Source organism: Homo sapiens, chromosome 15 (genome assembly GCF_000001405.40).
Source record: "Homo sapiens chromosome 15, GRCh38.p14 Primary Assembly".
NCBI classification, from domain to species: domain Eukaryota; kingdom Metazoa; phylum Chordata; class Mammalia; order Primates; family Hominidae; genus Homo; species Homo sapiens.
The window spans coordinates 88,482,150-88,498,317 of NC_000015.10; the positions used below are offsets into that span (position 1 = coordinate 88,482,150).

The following is a 16,168-nucleotide window of genomic DNA, read 5'->3' on the forward strand; positions in this document are numbered from 1 at the left end:
TTGGCGCATGCCTGTAATCCCAGCTACTTGGGAGGCTGAGGCAGGAGAATCGCTTGAACCCAGGAGGTGGAGGTTGCGGTAAGCCGAGATCACGCCATTGTACTCCAGCCTGGGCAACAAGAGTGAAACTCCTTCTCAAAAAAAAAAACAACAAAAACAAAAACAAAAAAAAACTTGCAGTCACACCAAGGTTAAAGAGCAGTCTCCACAAATGGGATGGACAAAAGGAGGTGGGTGTGTAGACAGCTGCAGTCAACAGGAACTTCAGAGTTAGAGATTCAAGAGAGAGCTCATTCACAGGAGAGGAAGTGAGGCACATGGGTGTCTAAAATACAGTCGAAATACAAGTCACTGAGGTTTAAGTCAAGTAATTATGTGGACAAAGAAACTTACCTTGATGCTGAAGCCTGGAAGTAGATGTCAGGGAAAAGGATAGAGAAGTCTATGAGGTTCAAAGTCCCTAAACAAAGTGGAGTGGCCCATAGTGTAGGAAGCAGACCAAGAATTCAGGAAGGCAGAAGTAATAGATCGTATGCACTTCAAAAGAGAACGGCTGTCAAGTAGGGGTGGTGGAACAATATCCCTGGAAGGGCTGAGGAGAGGGGAGCATGCTGACGCCTATCCCTGTCCACTGGGTGGGAGGTGGGGGTGGCGTGCACAGTGCTGGGGAAATGATGGTGATGAGGCTGTCTCTCCTCAGTAGACTGAAGGTGTAGGGACCGTGGTGGGAAGGCAGCGGCTGTGGACGCAGATGCCCAGAGCATGGAGAATCAGAAGAGCCTCTGGGGGCCTGGAGGTGTGGGGCCAGAGCCCCTCAGGAGCCAGGAACTGGATTGGAATCTATATCTAATACCCAACATCTACTCTGCTTCCACCCTGACTTTATAACAGAAGAATTTCAAAAGCTCAAAAGCTGTGAAATGATGTTTAATCTTACTAGTAATCAAGGACATAGAAGCTAAATGCCTAAGCATCATTCCCCAAATGTAGAGATGCCAATCAACGCCATAGTGGGATGAGACAGACCAGGAAAACTACAGAGTAGGGAAAAGAAGATGGCCAAGATTGTAAATGCAAGGAAGAGAGACTGTGAAGGAGGTGGGACAGAGGGCTTAGTCGGAGTGCAGGTTGCTGTCCAGAAGTCTGATAGGAACTCTACAAGATGAGGTGCCCCTTAGGTTTAGCCATGTGGAGGTCATGATTCACCAAAGGGAGAGAGGGTCAGAGACAGTGGGAGGTGAAGAAATAGAGGTTGGGCCAAGAGTGCTGAGTTTTCTAGTAAAGTCTGTCTCGTGGTGATGGAGAATAAATGGGATCAGCAGTTTCCCCTGCACCATGATGGACCAAGAGTCGGGGTGTGCAGAGGAGACGAGAAGAGGCTTAGAGCTGTGGAGAAGCAGACCTCAGCCAGGTGGCTGTCTCCCCTCTGAGGGAGATAGCGGTGTGGGACCCCAGGGACAGGCATGCCCATTGTAAATTGGGAACAGCAGTGTCTGATGTGAGCAACGTGGGCACCAACAATGGAAACAAAATGTCCTTGGAATCAGTACACACAGGGAATGTTTCGTGTTCTTTCCGACATTCTACACCGATTGTTCTGAAACAAAAAGTGTGTGCTCTCTCTCAGCTCTTACTGGGGGAAGGTAAATACCTAGAGCCTCTTCAGAGGGAAATTTGGCAATATCTGTCAACACAAGATGCAAAGACCTGTGGCTTCATAATTCCCTTCTAGGAATGTATCACATAGAGACAGCATCGCTGTCCACTAGAACTCCTTGCACAACAGAAATGCCCTATATCTTCCCTGCCAGAATGGAAGCCACTAGCCCCACATGGCTCTTAAAATGTGACTAGGAACTGCGTTTTAAATTCTATTTAATATGAATTAATTAACTTTGAAATAGCCACAGGTGACCAGCGAGTGTGGGACCACAAAGCTATAGATATTCTTTCCCATGTGTACCAAGTATGCAAAGATATTTTTGAAGGTACTGTAAAAGATTGGAACCTAAATGTCCATCAATAGGGGGCTAGTTAAATTACAATACAGTACATCCAGATAATGGAATGTTGGCCCTGAAACACACCAAGATGCTTTGCTAAGTGAAAAATAAACGAGTGGGGGCAGAACGTTGTGCACAGTGTAGTTGCTAATTTTTGTAGAAAAGGAGAAAAGGTGTGTACATACATGTTTGTGTATGCATTCAGTATCTGGAAAGACATATCCCAAACTGGCAGTGTGCTCAGCTCCAGGGAGGGAAACTGGGTGACAGAGTAGCAGGTGGAAAGCAGACTCAACTCTTTACCTTCTTCACCTTTAGAAGTAGGTGCTATATTGATGTTACTTATTCATATTAATTAATGAACCAATTAAAATAAAAATAAAGAACTTTTTAAAAAAATGTATAGATGCTGCAGTCAGGCATTACATAAATCATCTGCTGAAATGTGCACATAACATTTTTTTAGTATATATTTGGACACACACGGACCCTGTAACACTCCCCATCTCCACTGTTGGTCCAGTATTTGGGGGAAGACATCTGATTTGGCTCTGAAATTTGTTCTCGTAATTAATCTGGCTTCTCTCTGCTGCCCACCCAGGTTCAAATAAAACTATGCACATGCTCCCAAATTAGCATAACAAGTCTTGCCAGAAAAGTCAGCCTCGGTGTCATTATTGCTTGGCTGGGAGGAGGAGGCAGAGAGAGCAGGGCGATCTGTTTCCATAGTGCCCTGCGGCAGCTTAACCGCCTAGGATTTGCGTAATCCCCTTGAACTAAAAAGAAATGTCAACTGAGGGGCAGCATGGTGTCACAGGGGGCCCTGGCTGGGAGGACACCTGTTGTCTAGACCCAGCTTGAGCCCAGACTCAGCATGCAGGCTGTCAGGCCACACTCCCTCCCCAACACAAGACTTCAGTTTCTCAGGACCATGAGGGGGTTGAGTGGGACGCAGCTCCAGCATCTAAGGAGCCTACAGGTCCTTCGTGGCTGGGAAGAAAGCCTGGATCCTGACTCACTAAGCTGCTCTGAGGGAGAGCCTCAGGGATGTTACACAAGCCAGATTCTATGCCCCAGGGAATCCAATTAGTTCTCCCCTAGACTCTAGGCCAGGCCCGCTCCCTGCCGATGCCCCCCACCTGCCACCCTGCTCAGTTGCCCATTCCTTCTAGCCTGCTGGGCTGAGAAGAGCTTAGGCTTTGGAGTCACAAAGACCAGGGTTTGAATCTCAGCTCTACTGTGTGACCTTGGAGGAATGGCTGCATCTCTCTGAGCCTCAGCTACTCCCACTTTCACAGGACTGGCAGGGGGATTTGTAAGGCAACTGTGTACTCTGCTCAGGCACAGCGAGTGTCATCCAGGCTGGCCCTGCCTTTCCTGCCCTGCCCTCCCAATCCTCACACTGCTAAGGTGGCAGCTTCCATCCTCGCAGGGCCTTGGCTGATTCTGTGGGGCCCTGGCGGGGAGCACAGTGGTGAATGCAGATGCATGCCCATCTTGTTGCTGCTGTTACAATTATTAATTATTTTCAAATATTTTTCCTGTAATTTTAATCAGAAAAGTCCTGTGGGAGCCAATCACCCATCTTCCTAATTCCTTAAATTCATCCAACTGTAGATAAAGCCAGATCGTTTAAAAAAAAAAATTGCAGCCAAAAATGAAATGAAATGAAAACGCCAAATGATTGGAAAGTCTATCCCTCAAGAGTCTTTCTTCCCTCCCTCATTCCTCAAGCATCTATCAACACTCAGATTCAGGATGTCTAAGCCCTAGTAACTGGCCTGAGCAGCCTAGGAGGCTAGCTGGGGAGACAAATTCAGAAAAAGTCCATTGTGACACCACTGAGTGCTACCACAGAATGGGGACACCTGTGAGTGAGACAGCGCGTGCCCTAGAGTCTGTGTGTGTTATGGTGGGGATGAGAAGATGAATCAAGGAACACTTCCTAGAGGAGGTGACACAAGCTCAAAATCAGAGTAAGAGTTAGGAGGCAACTATGGGTGATGAGGGGTGATGGGGGGAGTTTGCAGCAAAGAAGATGGCATGAACAAAGGGTAGAATGCAAGGGATCCTCCTTCCTCGACCTCCAAAAGTACTGGGATTACAGGTGTGAGTCACCATGCCCAGCCTTAAATTAAAGATCTTGAAAGCCAGGCACAGTGGTGCATGCTTGTAGTCCCAGCTGCTCAGGAGGCCAAGACAGGAGAATCACTTGCACCCAGAACTTCGAGTCCAGCCTGGGCAACATAGCAAGACCCCCATCTCTTAAAAAAAAGAAAAAGAAATATGAGTGCTCTTGAGATGGGGAGATTATCCTGGATGATCTAGTGGATCCTAAATGGAGTCACAGGTATTCTTATAAAATGGAGCCAGAAGATTTGACTACATAAACAGAAGAGGAAAGGCCATGTGACCACAGAGGCAGAGACTGGAGAGATTCAGCCATAGGCCAAGAAATGCCAAAATCCACCAGAAGCTGGAAGGGGCAAGAACAGATTGTTCCTGAAACTGTGATGTTTCATTGCCCGGTGTGCACAGCAAGTCAATATGCCGAAACACCAGGCTGCAGTAGAGAAAGGAGTTTAATCACAGGGTCACCGAATGAGGAGATAAGAGGAAACCTTAAATCCATCTCCCCAGTGAGTTTGGGGCTAGGGTTTTTAAGAGTTTTGGAGTGGGCCGAAGTGTGGAGATCACTGATGGGTGGAAGAGTGCAGGGTGAAGTCACGGGACAAGGAGATGAAACAGCTGAATTCTCATGCCGATCCCATTCCTGTGTGGGGGTCTTCAAACTCATTCCTGGAATTCATGGCCTGGAAAATATCTTAAGCCATCCTTCCACAAAAGCTCTATGATTCTAATGTCAGAGATCCTGTCTATAGGAACAACGTGGATGAAATCAATTCTTAGTCTCAGAATCCTAATGTCAGAAATCCTATCTGTAGAAACGATGGGGATGCAAATGGTCAGTAACCAGCGCTACATGACTTTTAGCAACAAAGAAGAGGGCCAAAGAGCAGCCTGATCAATGCTTAATTCTAACTATATTTCTATCCAGAGCTGGGCAGGCAATTCTTATCAACCCTGTAGAGATGGTTTCATTCCCTAGAGCCTCTGAAGGAAGCATAGCCCTGCTGCCAACTTGATTTTGGCCCAATGATACTGATTTGGGACTTCTGGCCTCCAGAACTGTGACAGAACAAATGTCTGTGGTTTTAGGCACCCAGGGTGTGGTCATTTGTCACAGCAGCCACAGGAATCTAATAGAGGCAGGAGAGAATGCTGGAGAAGTCAGTGGGGATGGAGAGAAGTTGGGGGTGGTGGATATAGAAGAGGAAAATGGGCAAGGCTGGGGTGGACTGCAGGTGGGATAAGAGAGGGAGGGACAGCCAGGCATCTGGTGGCCTCATAACATCAGAAGGGCCCTATGCTACTGGGGCACCAGCAGGGCCCTCTGCAGGCTGTAAGCAGCATGAGCCTCTGAAAGGTTTTAACAGGGCTGTGCCATGGTCAGAGATGTGTTTTAGAAAGAGCAGACTGGGGTCTGGGGCGCTGGATGGACGAACTAAAGGCACCTGGAGTCAGGGAGACCCACAGGAGGTCATGGCTGGGATCCAGGTGAGAGATGAGTCTGGCAGAAAACAGCCACAAGCAGGATTGCAGGCAGGGCAGATTCTAGGGAGGTTTAGGAGGCTGTCTTAGTCCCTTTTGTGCTGCTATAATGGAATACCACAGACTGGGTAACTTATTTCTTACAGTTCTAAAGGCTGTGAATTCAAGGTTGAGGGACCAAATCTCATGAGGGCCTTTGTGCTGTGTCATCCCATGGAGGAAGGCAGAAGGGCAAGAAAGGGGATATGAGAGAGAGAGAGAGAGAAAGAGATCATGAGAAAGAGAAAGGGCATGTGAGAGAGAGAGAGAGAGAGAGAGAGAGAGCATAAGAAAAAAAGAGAGAAAGAATGCAAAGGCCAAACTGGATTTTCTAACAATCCGCTCCATGACCTAATCACCTCTTACTGCCCCCCCCCCGTTAATACTGTCACAATGGCAATTAAATCTCAACATGGGTTTTGGAGGGGACATCCAATCCATGGCAGAGGCAAAGGTGCCATTTCCGGGTGGAGGAGAGGGGAGATGTACAGAAGCGGCTGCAGGGGCGCCACCAGCAGAGCCTGTGTGGGCCCCGGCTCAGGGATGGGACTCGCCTGGGCCTGATCCTGAGCCCTCTGAAAGGGCGGGGGAGCTTCCGTGCATTGTAAGGACCCCTCTCCAGCCCCCTCAGCTGTGCCAGCCGGGCTGCATCTGGGAGAGGACACACAGGGGATCCTGGTGGTCTCGTCCCTGGGAGCAGGCAAAAGCACATTTTTTGTCCTGTTGGGATTGGGATAATTGGGGCATTAACGGAAATGCATTTCTCACCTATTTTCTGTCTGATTGAAAACTTTGCAGTCATTTAGAGCTCTCACACCTCCTCTAATCAGAGCTCACTTCGCTCAGAGGCAGAAAACTGGGTCACATGTGGACTCCAAAGCCTCCCAGGATGCGACAAGCCAAAAGTGCAGCATCCCCCACCTCCTCTGCTCCCTGCCACCCCAGGACAGAACCACCCTACCCCAGCCCCTCAGTGAGCACACACTCTGTAGCGGGCTGAACTTGGAGTACCGACAGGATACCCTTTATTTTTCTCCCATCACTGCCTCCAATCAGCTTCCTCACATCTCCCTTTCTAGACTCCTAAAGCTCCATCTCAGGGAGACTCTGTGGCTTTCTGGTTACTTTTTCTTCTTTTAATAGAGACGGGGTTTTTCCATGTTGGCCAGGCTGGTCTCGAACTCCTGACCTCAAGTGATCCACCTGCCTTGGCCTCCCAAAGTGCTGGGATTACAGGGGTGAGCCACCACTGCACCTGGCCTGGTTACTTTTAATTCCAAGAATAAATCCCATTTGATAGTTATGACTCTTCTTCAGAGACCTAAAAGTCCAGTCAAGTCTATAATAAAACCTCAATCTCACAACCCACGTGCAGCTTCCCCTCCTCATCTTCAGGCTTTTCCAGGTCTGGGATCGCAGAAGATGGAACTCGGGGAGAGTCAGGTTGTTTTGCTCAGCAGGTGCTATATGTGAGGCTCTCTTGGCCAACCCTGGCAGTTACACCTCCTTTACTCCGGGGGGATTCTTTCATGGGCCCTAGAGTGAGCTCTCTGGAGACTTGCCCCACCCATCCATCCATGCAGAGACCTCTGCCCCAGGCCTTTCTGAGGGGGATATGGAGTTGTACTGCCCAGACCTCCTCATGGAAGCACCTATCGCCCAGCTACTGGGAGCACTGTCAGCACCAGGGACAGCCCAGGCCACACCCTTCCAATGGCATGACCACCAACAGGGGGCATCCCTGACAGGCAGTTTCAGCTCCAACTGAACCCCCCAGGGGCCTGCAGCACAACTCACCTTCTTCCTCCGCCTGATCCCGCTTCCTCCTCTTCCTCCCACAGGCATTGATCCTGGGGTACTCCCCTAATCTCCAACACAGAGCTGTCTCCAGGTCGCCTCCAAACACAGCCCCTTCCCTGACAAGCCTGAGCACTCTGCGCTGCCTCTCCTCACCTGCCTCAGCTCCTGCCCTGTGGCCCACCCCATCCAGCCTCCTACTGGGGGGACCCCTGAGCCCCATTAGGTGAGAGGGGTACCAGCAATGTTGGCTCAAGCCCAGCTCCCTTCACAGTGCCCACTGAGCCGCAGGAGCCTTGGGGGCCACCAGTTGCTAGCAGCATAACTTACCCAGCCATTGCCGCTCTCTCTTTGCCCTACCATACAGGCTGCTCCTCCAGCCTTCCACTTCCAGGCTTCTCCTGGAAGAAGCATGCTCCATTATCTACCTGCATGGTGATGCCCCAACCAAGTCACATGAGGCACCATCAGTGCTTTGCTCCCAAGAACTCTCTTGTTAAAGTCTGCTTTAGAGGTGGCACGGAGTAGGCTCACAGGTTTTCTGCAGCTCAGCAAGCCTTCAGCCAGATCATGAGACATCACCCTGCACCTGTGATAGGCTCCACACTCTACAAGCCAGCTGCCCTTCGCTTGACTTCCAAGCAGGGGAAAGCAGCTGTGGCTGTATATGATGTCTCACGAGTTGTGCCTGCACAAGAATTGGAAGAAGAGTGGCAGAGACCAGCCTCATGCCCCACCCCCACCCCCTGCCCTTGGTCATCTTGGGTTTTTTTACTTTTTAGTAAAGCATTTGCTTACTCCCCACTCTTTTGTTGGGGAGATGGTGGATTTTTCCATAGCAGCTTTGTGGGTGTTGAGAGGTGGCTGTGACAGTGGCCATGAGAGCCCCTCCATTGGGGTCAAGAAGCTGAAGGTCGCCCGCCCCCACAATCCCCCCGGAAGCCCTGTCTTCCTGATGGGGACCAAGGTAGCAGCAACCTAGGGCATCTGCAGGGACACTCTGGACCCTTCCAAGGATATGTAAACACCTAATATCCAGTAACAAATCCTTTTCCACCTAAAATAGCCAGAGTGGTTTCTGTTTCCTGCAACCAAGAGTCTGACTGGTGCAATACACCTTTTCAAAGTCTCTTACTTGGCCTGGAATGGGTGGCCACTGTTGGATTCATTTTGCTGTCCTTTATTAAGTCCTGTCTGGAGGTGACTAGCCCTTCTCTTACCAGCCCTTCTCATCCTCGGCTGTTCACATGCATTCCTAGGGACCCTTGTGAAAATGCAGGTGCTGATTCAGTAGACCCTGGGTGCGGCCTGAAAGTCTGCACCTCTAGCAAGTTCCAGGAAAGGCCTTTGCAGTAACCCTACCCTGGACCTGCCGAAAAGCACAGCATTAGACTGTGGACCCTGTCTCAGCCTCCAGGAGCTCACAGTGAGTTGGCTCCCTAACTGCACGCAGAGCTGGCTGGGCAGCGAGAACACGGGCCACCTGCCTTCTCTGCACCTTGTGACTGAAGGAGAAGTCCAGCCTCCCAGGCACAGGGCAGCAGTGCTTCCTGGGTGGGCTTGTGATTTCTCGAAGGACCAGCACCTCAGGAGCACCGAGGAGCATGGCAGTCACTGTGCTGGGGGCAGAGATGGGCAGGGACCAGGGAAGGAAGTCCTCTGAGGGTGGCAGCTGCTGGGCTAGGCCTTCTGTGGCAACAAGTGGGCGGAAGGCATGGCATGAATGATGCGCAGAAGGCCAAGAAACGCATTGGCTGTGTTCCAGGAGCCAGGAAACAGCCCTCCTGAGTGATCCGGGCAGGATGGGGCGGAGTCAGTGCAGGTGCGGGCTGAGGGGAAGGACTGGAAACAGGGCTGAGGCCAGGCAGTGAAGGGCCTGCAGAGGAGGCTGGGGCGTGCCTAAGGGTCCCGAGCAGGGCTGTGATCAGAGGCATGGCAACACTTGGAGAATGGAGAGTGGACAGCAGTGAGGAGTTGGTGGCCTGCAGAGAGTGGCCTGAGGGACAGAGGCACAGAATAAAAGGGCTCTGAGTTCATGTGTCCTCCCACCAGCCTAGCAATGGCAGCCAGGACTCATGGGCCTTATTAACTATATTTTATAAACTGATCCATTCACTCAGCCAGCTTTTGTGTTTTTTCAAAAGTTAGGGCACTAAATATGACAACAGAAAAGAATATGTTATCCATCCATTTAGATTATACCATAAACTTGTGCCTTTGCAGGGCACATTGAAAATATCCAGCGTGGCACTCAATATATGTGTTGAATGTGTCAAATGAATGAGTGAATTTATAAAACTAGAGCAAGTTGCCATGGGTGGGGGTCTTCCGGGTTGCCCTGGTCATAGGCTGTGGGGCTGGCTGGCAGCCTGTTCCTGTGGGACCACCCTCTCTACTCCAACACACCCAGCCCAGGTTTAGCAGAGTGGTCACTGATCACTAGAAATATATAGATCTTCTTACTGAATGTCTAATAAACAGCTCAACCCAACATGGCTAAATTGCAACTCTTGGTTTTCATCCCATCCCCAGAAAATCCTTCCTCTAACCCAGTCTGACCTAAGGTAACCACTTACTGTCAGGCCAACAGACTTTGCAGTCATTGACTCCTTTTCCTTACCCCTGTGCTGAGCTCATTGACTTGTCCAGTTGGCCCAACCTCCAATATATATCCCAATCTGACTGCTTCTCACCGTTTCTCCTTGTACCACCCTACTCTTGCCTGGCCCTTTGCCTTGGCCTCCTAACCACCTTATCCTCCAAGCACAGCTCCATTTTGCCCCCAACATCCAGAGTAATTTTTTTTTTTTTTTTTTTTGAGACAGAGTCTCCCTCCGTCACCCAGGCTGGAGTGCAGTGGCGTGATCTCGGCTCACTGCAACCTCTGCCTCCCAGGTTCAAGACATTCTCATGCCTCAGCCTGCCGAGTAGCTGGGATTACAGGCGCATGCCACCACGCCTGGCTAGGCTTTTTTGTATTTTTAGTAGAGACGAGGTTTTACCATGTTGGCCAGGCTGGTATCAAACTCCTGACTCAAGTGATCCGCCCACCTCACAGTATTATTTTTAAAGCACAAGTCAGATCATGTCACTCGTTAGTTTTCTTGTTTATGTTCTGTGTCTTTGGCTAGAATGTAACTCTATGAAGGCAGGATTTGTGGCTTTGTTGTAGCTGGAGCCTAGGAAAGTGCTGGGTAGGTGCTAAATGTGTGTTGATGGCCTCACTGAACAGGAGAGCCTATGGCGGTGGCTGGAGTGGGGGCCTCACCTCTAACCATGTCAGCTGCCCAGAGCTGTCCTGACCTGCCCCACAATGCAGAGGAGCAAAAGCCCAGCTCCAGATTCAGCCGTGTTCCAGAAAACGGCATGGCAACACTGGCATGCATTACAAAATGTGACTTTTAAGATGGTTTTCTAGACTGTTTCTGGAGAAACATCCCAAAACAGTAAGTGAACTCTGGATTAACAACAAGATGAATGACTAAAATGATACATGGGGTGGATTCTACAGTGTTATCTAGAACCCAAAACATTAACCGGGGTCTGATTGTGAAAGGACCATAGTTATATCTCCAAAATGTGACAAAATAATTTAGAAAAGTAGAGATATTTTTTCTTTTCAAAACATAGGTGCTTTAATAAACATGCATTGAATAAATTGCTTATATAACATAAAAAAAAAGATAATATGTCCCACATGTCATTCTGAGACACACTAGAATGGTTCCAGAAGCAGTATTCTGAAAAGGGGTCACTAAGAAATCCCGGCATTTCATCCACCTCAGGGTGTTACCATATATTCCTCTGGCTCCAAATTACTCAAATATTTACTTTATGGTTGTATTATTTTGAATGTATTGTTGAGAGCAGCATCTAATTCTTTGTGAAATGAGGCAGGAAACAGAAGGCAGACATAACAAATGAAATCAGCAGACTCAAATCACGGGGGATGTAGAAAACACGGAAGAAGGAGAATTTAGAGGAGGGGAGGAGAGAGATCACTGACTTCAGGTGCCAGCTACAGGCCCATTGTCCTGGTTTACATCTTCCTTTCTAGAAGGGAGGTTACAGGGGGTTCTCTGATAACTTATAAAATCTTTCGCTCTCCCAGCTCTTCAGATTAGGAGACACTTGCTGGGTGAACCGCCTGGCCATCGAGAGGTGGGAGATTCCATGGCCTTAGTAATGGTTGTGTCGCATCCCGCTGCCGTGGGGATGGAGATTAGCAAGCCCCAAGCATCCAGGACTCAGAGTTGCGGGAAGGGCCAGGCAGAAGGGCCCGCCGTGCGTCTCCTCCACCCAGTGGTCCCTGAGGTTGCTGGGTACACTTAATCCCACTGTCACCACGCACTCACCACAGGGGCACACAGGCAGCTCTCCCCTGCAAACAGCAGCTGGTCAGGGCTGGGCTCCACGGCTGCCCATCTGCCGCCCCCTCTCCTAGATGCGAGGATGTCTCTAAGACAGGCCTTATCCCTCGGAGCATCTCATTCAGTTCCTTCTGGTTTGGATCTGTGGCTCAGATGGGGATTTTCCCTCCTTCCCACATGGCTGGCCACCTGCATGCAGTGTGAGTTCCAGATAAACCGTCTGTCCTTCCCTACCCCATACCCTTCCCCAGTGCCTCATGTAGCAGGGTAAAGATGACTGAGCTGCAGACCTAAGTCTTTTTTTTTTTTTTTTTTTTTTGAGACGGAGTCTCGCTCTGTTGCCCAGGCAGGAGTGCAGTGGCGGGATCTCCACTCACTGTAAGCTCCACCTCCCGGGTTCATGCCATTCTCCTGCCTCAGCCTCCTGAGTAGCTGGGACTACAGGCACCTGCCACCACACCCGGCTAATTTTTTTTTTTTTTTTTTTGTATTTTTAGTAGAGACGAGGTTTCACCATGTTTGCCAGGATGGTCTCGATCTCCTGACCTCATGATCCGCCCACCTCAGCCTCCCAAAGTGCTGGGATTACAGGCATGAGCCACCACGCCTGGCCTGAAGTCTAAGTTTGAATTCTGGCTCCAGCTTTGTGACTTTCAGAAGATTACTTACTTTCTCTGTGCCTGAATTCCTTATCTGTAAGATGAAGACAGTAACAATAGGCATTTCAGAGAGTTGAGTGGATCATAATTGACACACACAAAGAATTTTAGCACAGTGTCTGGTTCAAGTGCCCAAGAAGTGCTCACTGTTTTTAGCTCCCCTGCACTCCCCCTGGATGGGGCTTATAGATGCCTGCTTTAACTCAGGGCCTTCAGCTCCTCTGTTTGCACTCTAAGGAGGCCCAAAGGAATAGCTTTAGAACCCTCTTCAGAAAGTGTCCTGAAAACTATGAACGGACCTTAAGGATCTAGCGGCAAGACTATAAAATGAAAGGCCTGCACGCTAACTGTGACCCTGTCAGTGACTCCCTTGTCCTTGTTCTCTTACTGGTTTCCCAGTCTATGCAGTGGGAATCCTTTTGCCTAACCCTCATCACTCCAGCAGTAGAATAATTTTTTATGCTGTTTCCAGATGTGATCTGGAAAACTCAACCTTGGTACTAAAATACTAGTATCTGGGGGCTGCTGCCCTACAAAGGGAGCTCCCCCAGGATATCTGTGTTGCACAGCTGGCTCCAGAAGTCTGGCACAGGTGGGCTGATTGGCAGAGCCTCAGCAGCAATGCCCCTGTGAGGGAGGCTGGCCTTTGCTTCCAGTTAGAACTCAGAAAGTGTAGGACCACACAAACCCAGAAAGAGGTTCAAATGCTATGGGAACCAATCAAATGACAACGTCACTCAAAGGGTCTGAAAAATAGAACCATGGGGGTGAGCCCACTGAAGTCACTGTATGGGTGAACCAAGGCCCTGGACTGGAAACTGCTGGGAGCCTGTGAATTAGGTGGCCTCGGAGACCTTGCAAGCACTACTTCAGTGTGAGGTTGCAGTGTAAGTCTGCCTGCAGTTCTGTGCTACCTGCAGCACTGAGTGGCCACAGCCCAGCCACTCTTTTGTATTTTCTGAGGAAGGTGTGGAGAGAACACAGCCCTCCACCGTCTTCCTCTGCACTTCCACCCCCAAGCCAGAATCCTGTTGTCCTGTGGCTCACACAATATAAAAAACACACACCTAGAAGGTGTCTGCAGGCTGAGACAGGCCGATGTTGCCAGCACAGCAGGAGAATTGAGAGGTGGTAGCTTCCTATTTTCACTTCATCAATAAGCAGCAGCTGGAATGGAAGCCAGACCAAAGGCTGTCATCTCCTATAGTCTCTCCAGAAATGGAAAAAGCTAGTACTTTCTCACCATGGGTAGAATGACTTGAAAATGCCAAATTAACCCTTCAAACATGCACTTGTGCCCAGCCTGACTGAAGGAGAGGCTCTCTGGAGAGGGCAGCCTAGCCTGGCACTTGACAAGTGCTTTCTGTTGTGGATGGCTCACTACATATTAGACCCTGGCCAGACATGAAGTCTCTCATTTCATCCTCAAAACCACACTCAGCAGTCAGTATTATTATGCCTGTTTACAGATGAAGAAACTGAGGCTGAGACAATACAGCAGGGTCAGAGAGCTGAGGAAGCATGGAGTCAGAATTCTAGAGACCAAATCTTAGGCAACTCACCAGCCTCCCTCCCTTGGTGAGTGTGATGAATTCTGTCCCTCCGGCACTCTCCCTCTCTCGCTCCTACTCCCCTCCCCTCTGCTTCATCTGGGCATTGGGTCACAGAACTCCTCTGCCTCAGGTTTGCAGGGGTCCTCGCCTCCTTCACTATCCAACCTGGCCCCAAAGACAGCATGTGCTCATGACAACAGCTCAGGCTTCAGAATCAGACTCGATTCAAATCCTGATTTTACATCCACCATGTGTGTTATTTAGGGCAAGTCTCTGAGCCTCAATGTTCTCATCTGAAAACAGGAATATTATTGTCTCCTTCACAGAGCTGTCGTTTAGATTGACGGAAATGTCTGACGACTCCCTAGGACAGGTGCCCAGAGAGGGCAGCAATGCAGGCACGTGACAGTTCTCAACAGAAGCTTCGGAAGCAGAGACCACGCAAGCTCAAATCCTAACTCTTCCACTCAGTAACTGAGGGCTGGTAACTGAGCGGTCCGGAAACACCTCTTGATTTACTTCATGGGGTTGCTGTGAGGATTTCAGCAGTTAATACAGTGAGAACACCATGCTTGGCACACAGTTACTGCTCAAAACACTCCCCTGGGTGACTCGGTGGCTCTCATGATACCAGTTGCATGCTCTGCCTCTGGCTCCTCAAGCTTGATCTCCAGTCTCAAGGTCTGGCTCTCCAGGTTCATTACCTGCCTCTCCCATGCATGTTCCCACTGGCTATCTTCTCATGAGCACCACAAACCGTGTCCGGCATCTCTCCTTCCCAACTGGCCTCTTCGTGGCTCCCCAGTCTTGGCTGGGCACCATCTTCCCCCACCTGCTGACTCATCCCTGACTTTGTCCTTCCCTTGGTCGCCCGTGTACAACTGCTCACTCTCTATATCATGCCCATCCATCGCATCCTCCCCATCCCTTGACCACTGCCAACCCACCAGCACTCCTGACCATCCACCCTGGGGCACAGGGCACTGAGGCCTGGTCAGGTGTAGAGGGGACGGTACCCTAGGCTGGGACAGGCCACGTGCGATAGTGCCCAGCACACTGAGAGCTCCGTCTGAGAGGCAGCAGCTTGGACGGAAGCTGAGATCTCTGCCAGCCAGGTTGTCCAACAATAGCTGTCCCTGATTGAGCACTGACTGTGCCAGCACTGTGCCAAGCCTCCGCTGATATTATCAAGTCCAGCTGCCAGTTATAAGAAGCTAGTGAGGGTGGGAGAAGCAGGAACAAAGTGGGCAGAGGAAGCAGTAAGAACGCAGGCTGAATGCAAACAGCAGAGGCCGAACTTAGGGCAGTTTCTGCACCTCTGAAAGTCTGTTCCTCCCTTTCATCAGGTCTCCCTTGCCTACAGGGTGGGAGGGAGGAGTTCAGGAGTCTCCTACGCATAGATGATTTACTTCCTATGTGACTGTAAAGGCCTCTTTTCTAGACCTCCCTGCTTCCTGCATCAAATCCATTCTGTAGCCAGGGTAATCTGAAAACACAAATCTGACAAATGGCTTCACCAATTAAACTCTTCAAGGACTCTCTAAACGCAAAAGCTCAGAAGGCTGACAAGGCTCTTCACGATCTGCTCCCCACTGCCTCCCTGGCCACCCCAATGGGGGCACTTAGCTTTAAGCAAGGTTTTGTTTGCTGGTCCCCAAGCATGCCAAACTCTGTCGTGCCTCCATGCGTCTGTACCTCACTGCCTCTGGCTGGAACACCCTTCTCTTCCCATTCCTCCACCTCTCCCCTGTTGTCATCAGGCTAACTCCTCTCATCCTTCAGAATTTTCACCTCAGGTGATATCTTTGCCAGAAGCCTTCCTCAACCCCCCAGTCTAGGTCAGATACCCAAGGTCTCTGTGCTCCCCCAAACCTTGTGCAACTGTCACCTAATTTCAGTGAATCCCCCCAGCCCATTTACTTGTCTGTCTCTGAACCTGGTCCATAAGCTCAGGGAGTCCAAAGACCACACTGTATTGATCTTTTTAGCCTAGTGCCTAGCTCAGGGCCAGATACTCAAAAGAAACTCAATAAATGTTTGTGGAATGAATGAATAAATACGAGGTGGCCCCTGCAGACACAGCCATGCTCACCATTGTGGCTAGAGAAGGACACAGGAATCTCACACTCAAACAG

The 16,168-nt window shown here is 49.9% G+C and overlaps 5 annotated features.

Moving 5' to 3' along the window:
• Window positions 2,353-3,142: an enhancer, noted in NCBI's record as "NANOG-H3K27ac-H3K4me1 hESC enhancer chr15:89027733-89028522 (GRCh37/hg19 assembly coordinates)". NCBI's record gives its function as "activates a minimal SCP1, AML or CMV promoter by ChIP-STARR-seq in naive H9 embryonic stem cells {active_cell/tissue: H9 hESC(naive)}" and the evidence as "EXISTENCE:reporter gene assay evidence [ECO:0000049][PMID:30033119]".
• Window positions 5,694-6,211: an enhancer, noted in NCBI's record as "H3K4me1 hESC enhancer chr15:89031074-89031591 (GRCh37/hg19 assembly coordinates)". NCBI's record gives its function as "activates a minimal SCP1, AML or CMV promoter by ChIP-STARR-seq in primed H9 embryonic stem cells {active_cell/tissue: H9 hESC(primed)}" and the evidence as "EXISTENCE:reporter gene assay evidence [ECO:0000049][PMID:30033119]".
• Window positions 6,212-6,728: an enhancer, noted in NCBI's record as "H3K4me1 hESC enhancer chr15:89031592-89032108 (GRCh37/hg19 assembly coordinates)". NCBI's record gives its function as "activates a minimal SCP1, AML or CMV promoter by ChIP-STARR-seq in primed H9 embryonic stem cells {active_cell/tissue: H9 hESC(primed)}" and the evidence as "EXISTENCE:reporter gene assay evidence [ECO:0000049][PMID:30033119]".
• Window positions 9,051-9,550: an enhancer, noted in NCBI's record as "H3K4me1 hESC enhancer chr15:89034431-89034930 (GRCh37/hg19 assembly coordinates)". NCBI's record gives its function as "activates a minimal SCP1, AML or CMV promoter by ChIP-STARR-seq in naive H9 embryonic stem cells {active_cell/tissue: H9 hESC(naive)}" and the evidence as "EXISTENCE:reporter gene assay evidence [ECO:0000049][PMID:30033119]".
• Window positions 14,530-15,030: an enhancer, noted in NCBI's record as "H3K4me1 hESC enhancer chr15:89039910-89040410 (GRCh37/hg19 assembly coordinates)". NCBI's record gives its function as "activates a minimal SCP1, AML or CMV promoter by ChIP-STARR-seq in primed H9 embryonic stem cells {active_cell/tissue: H9 hESC(primed)}" and the evidence as "EXISTENCE:reporter gene assay evidence [ECO:0000049][PMID:30033119]".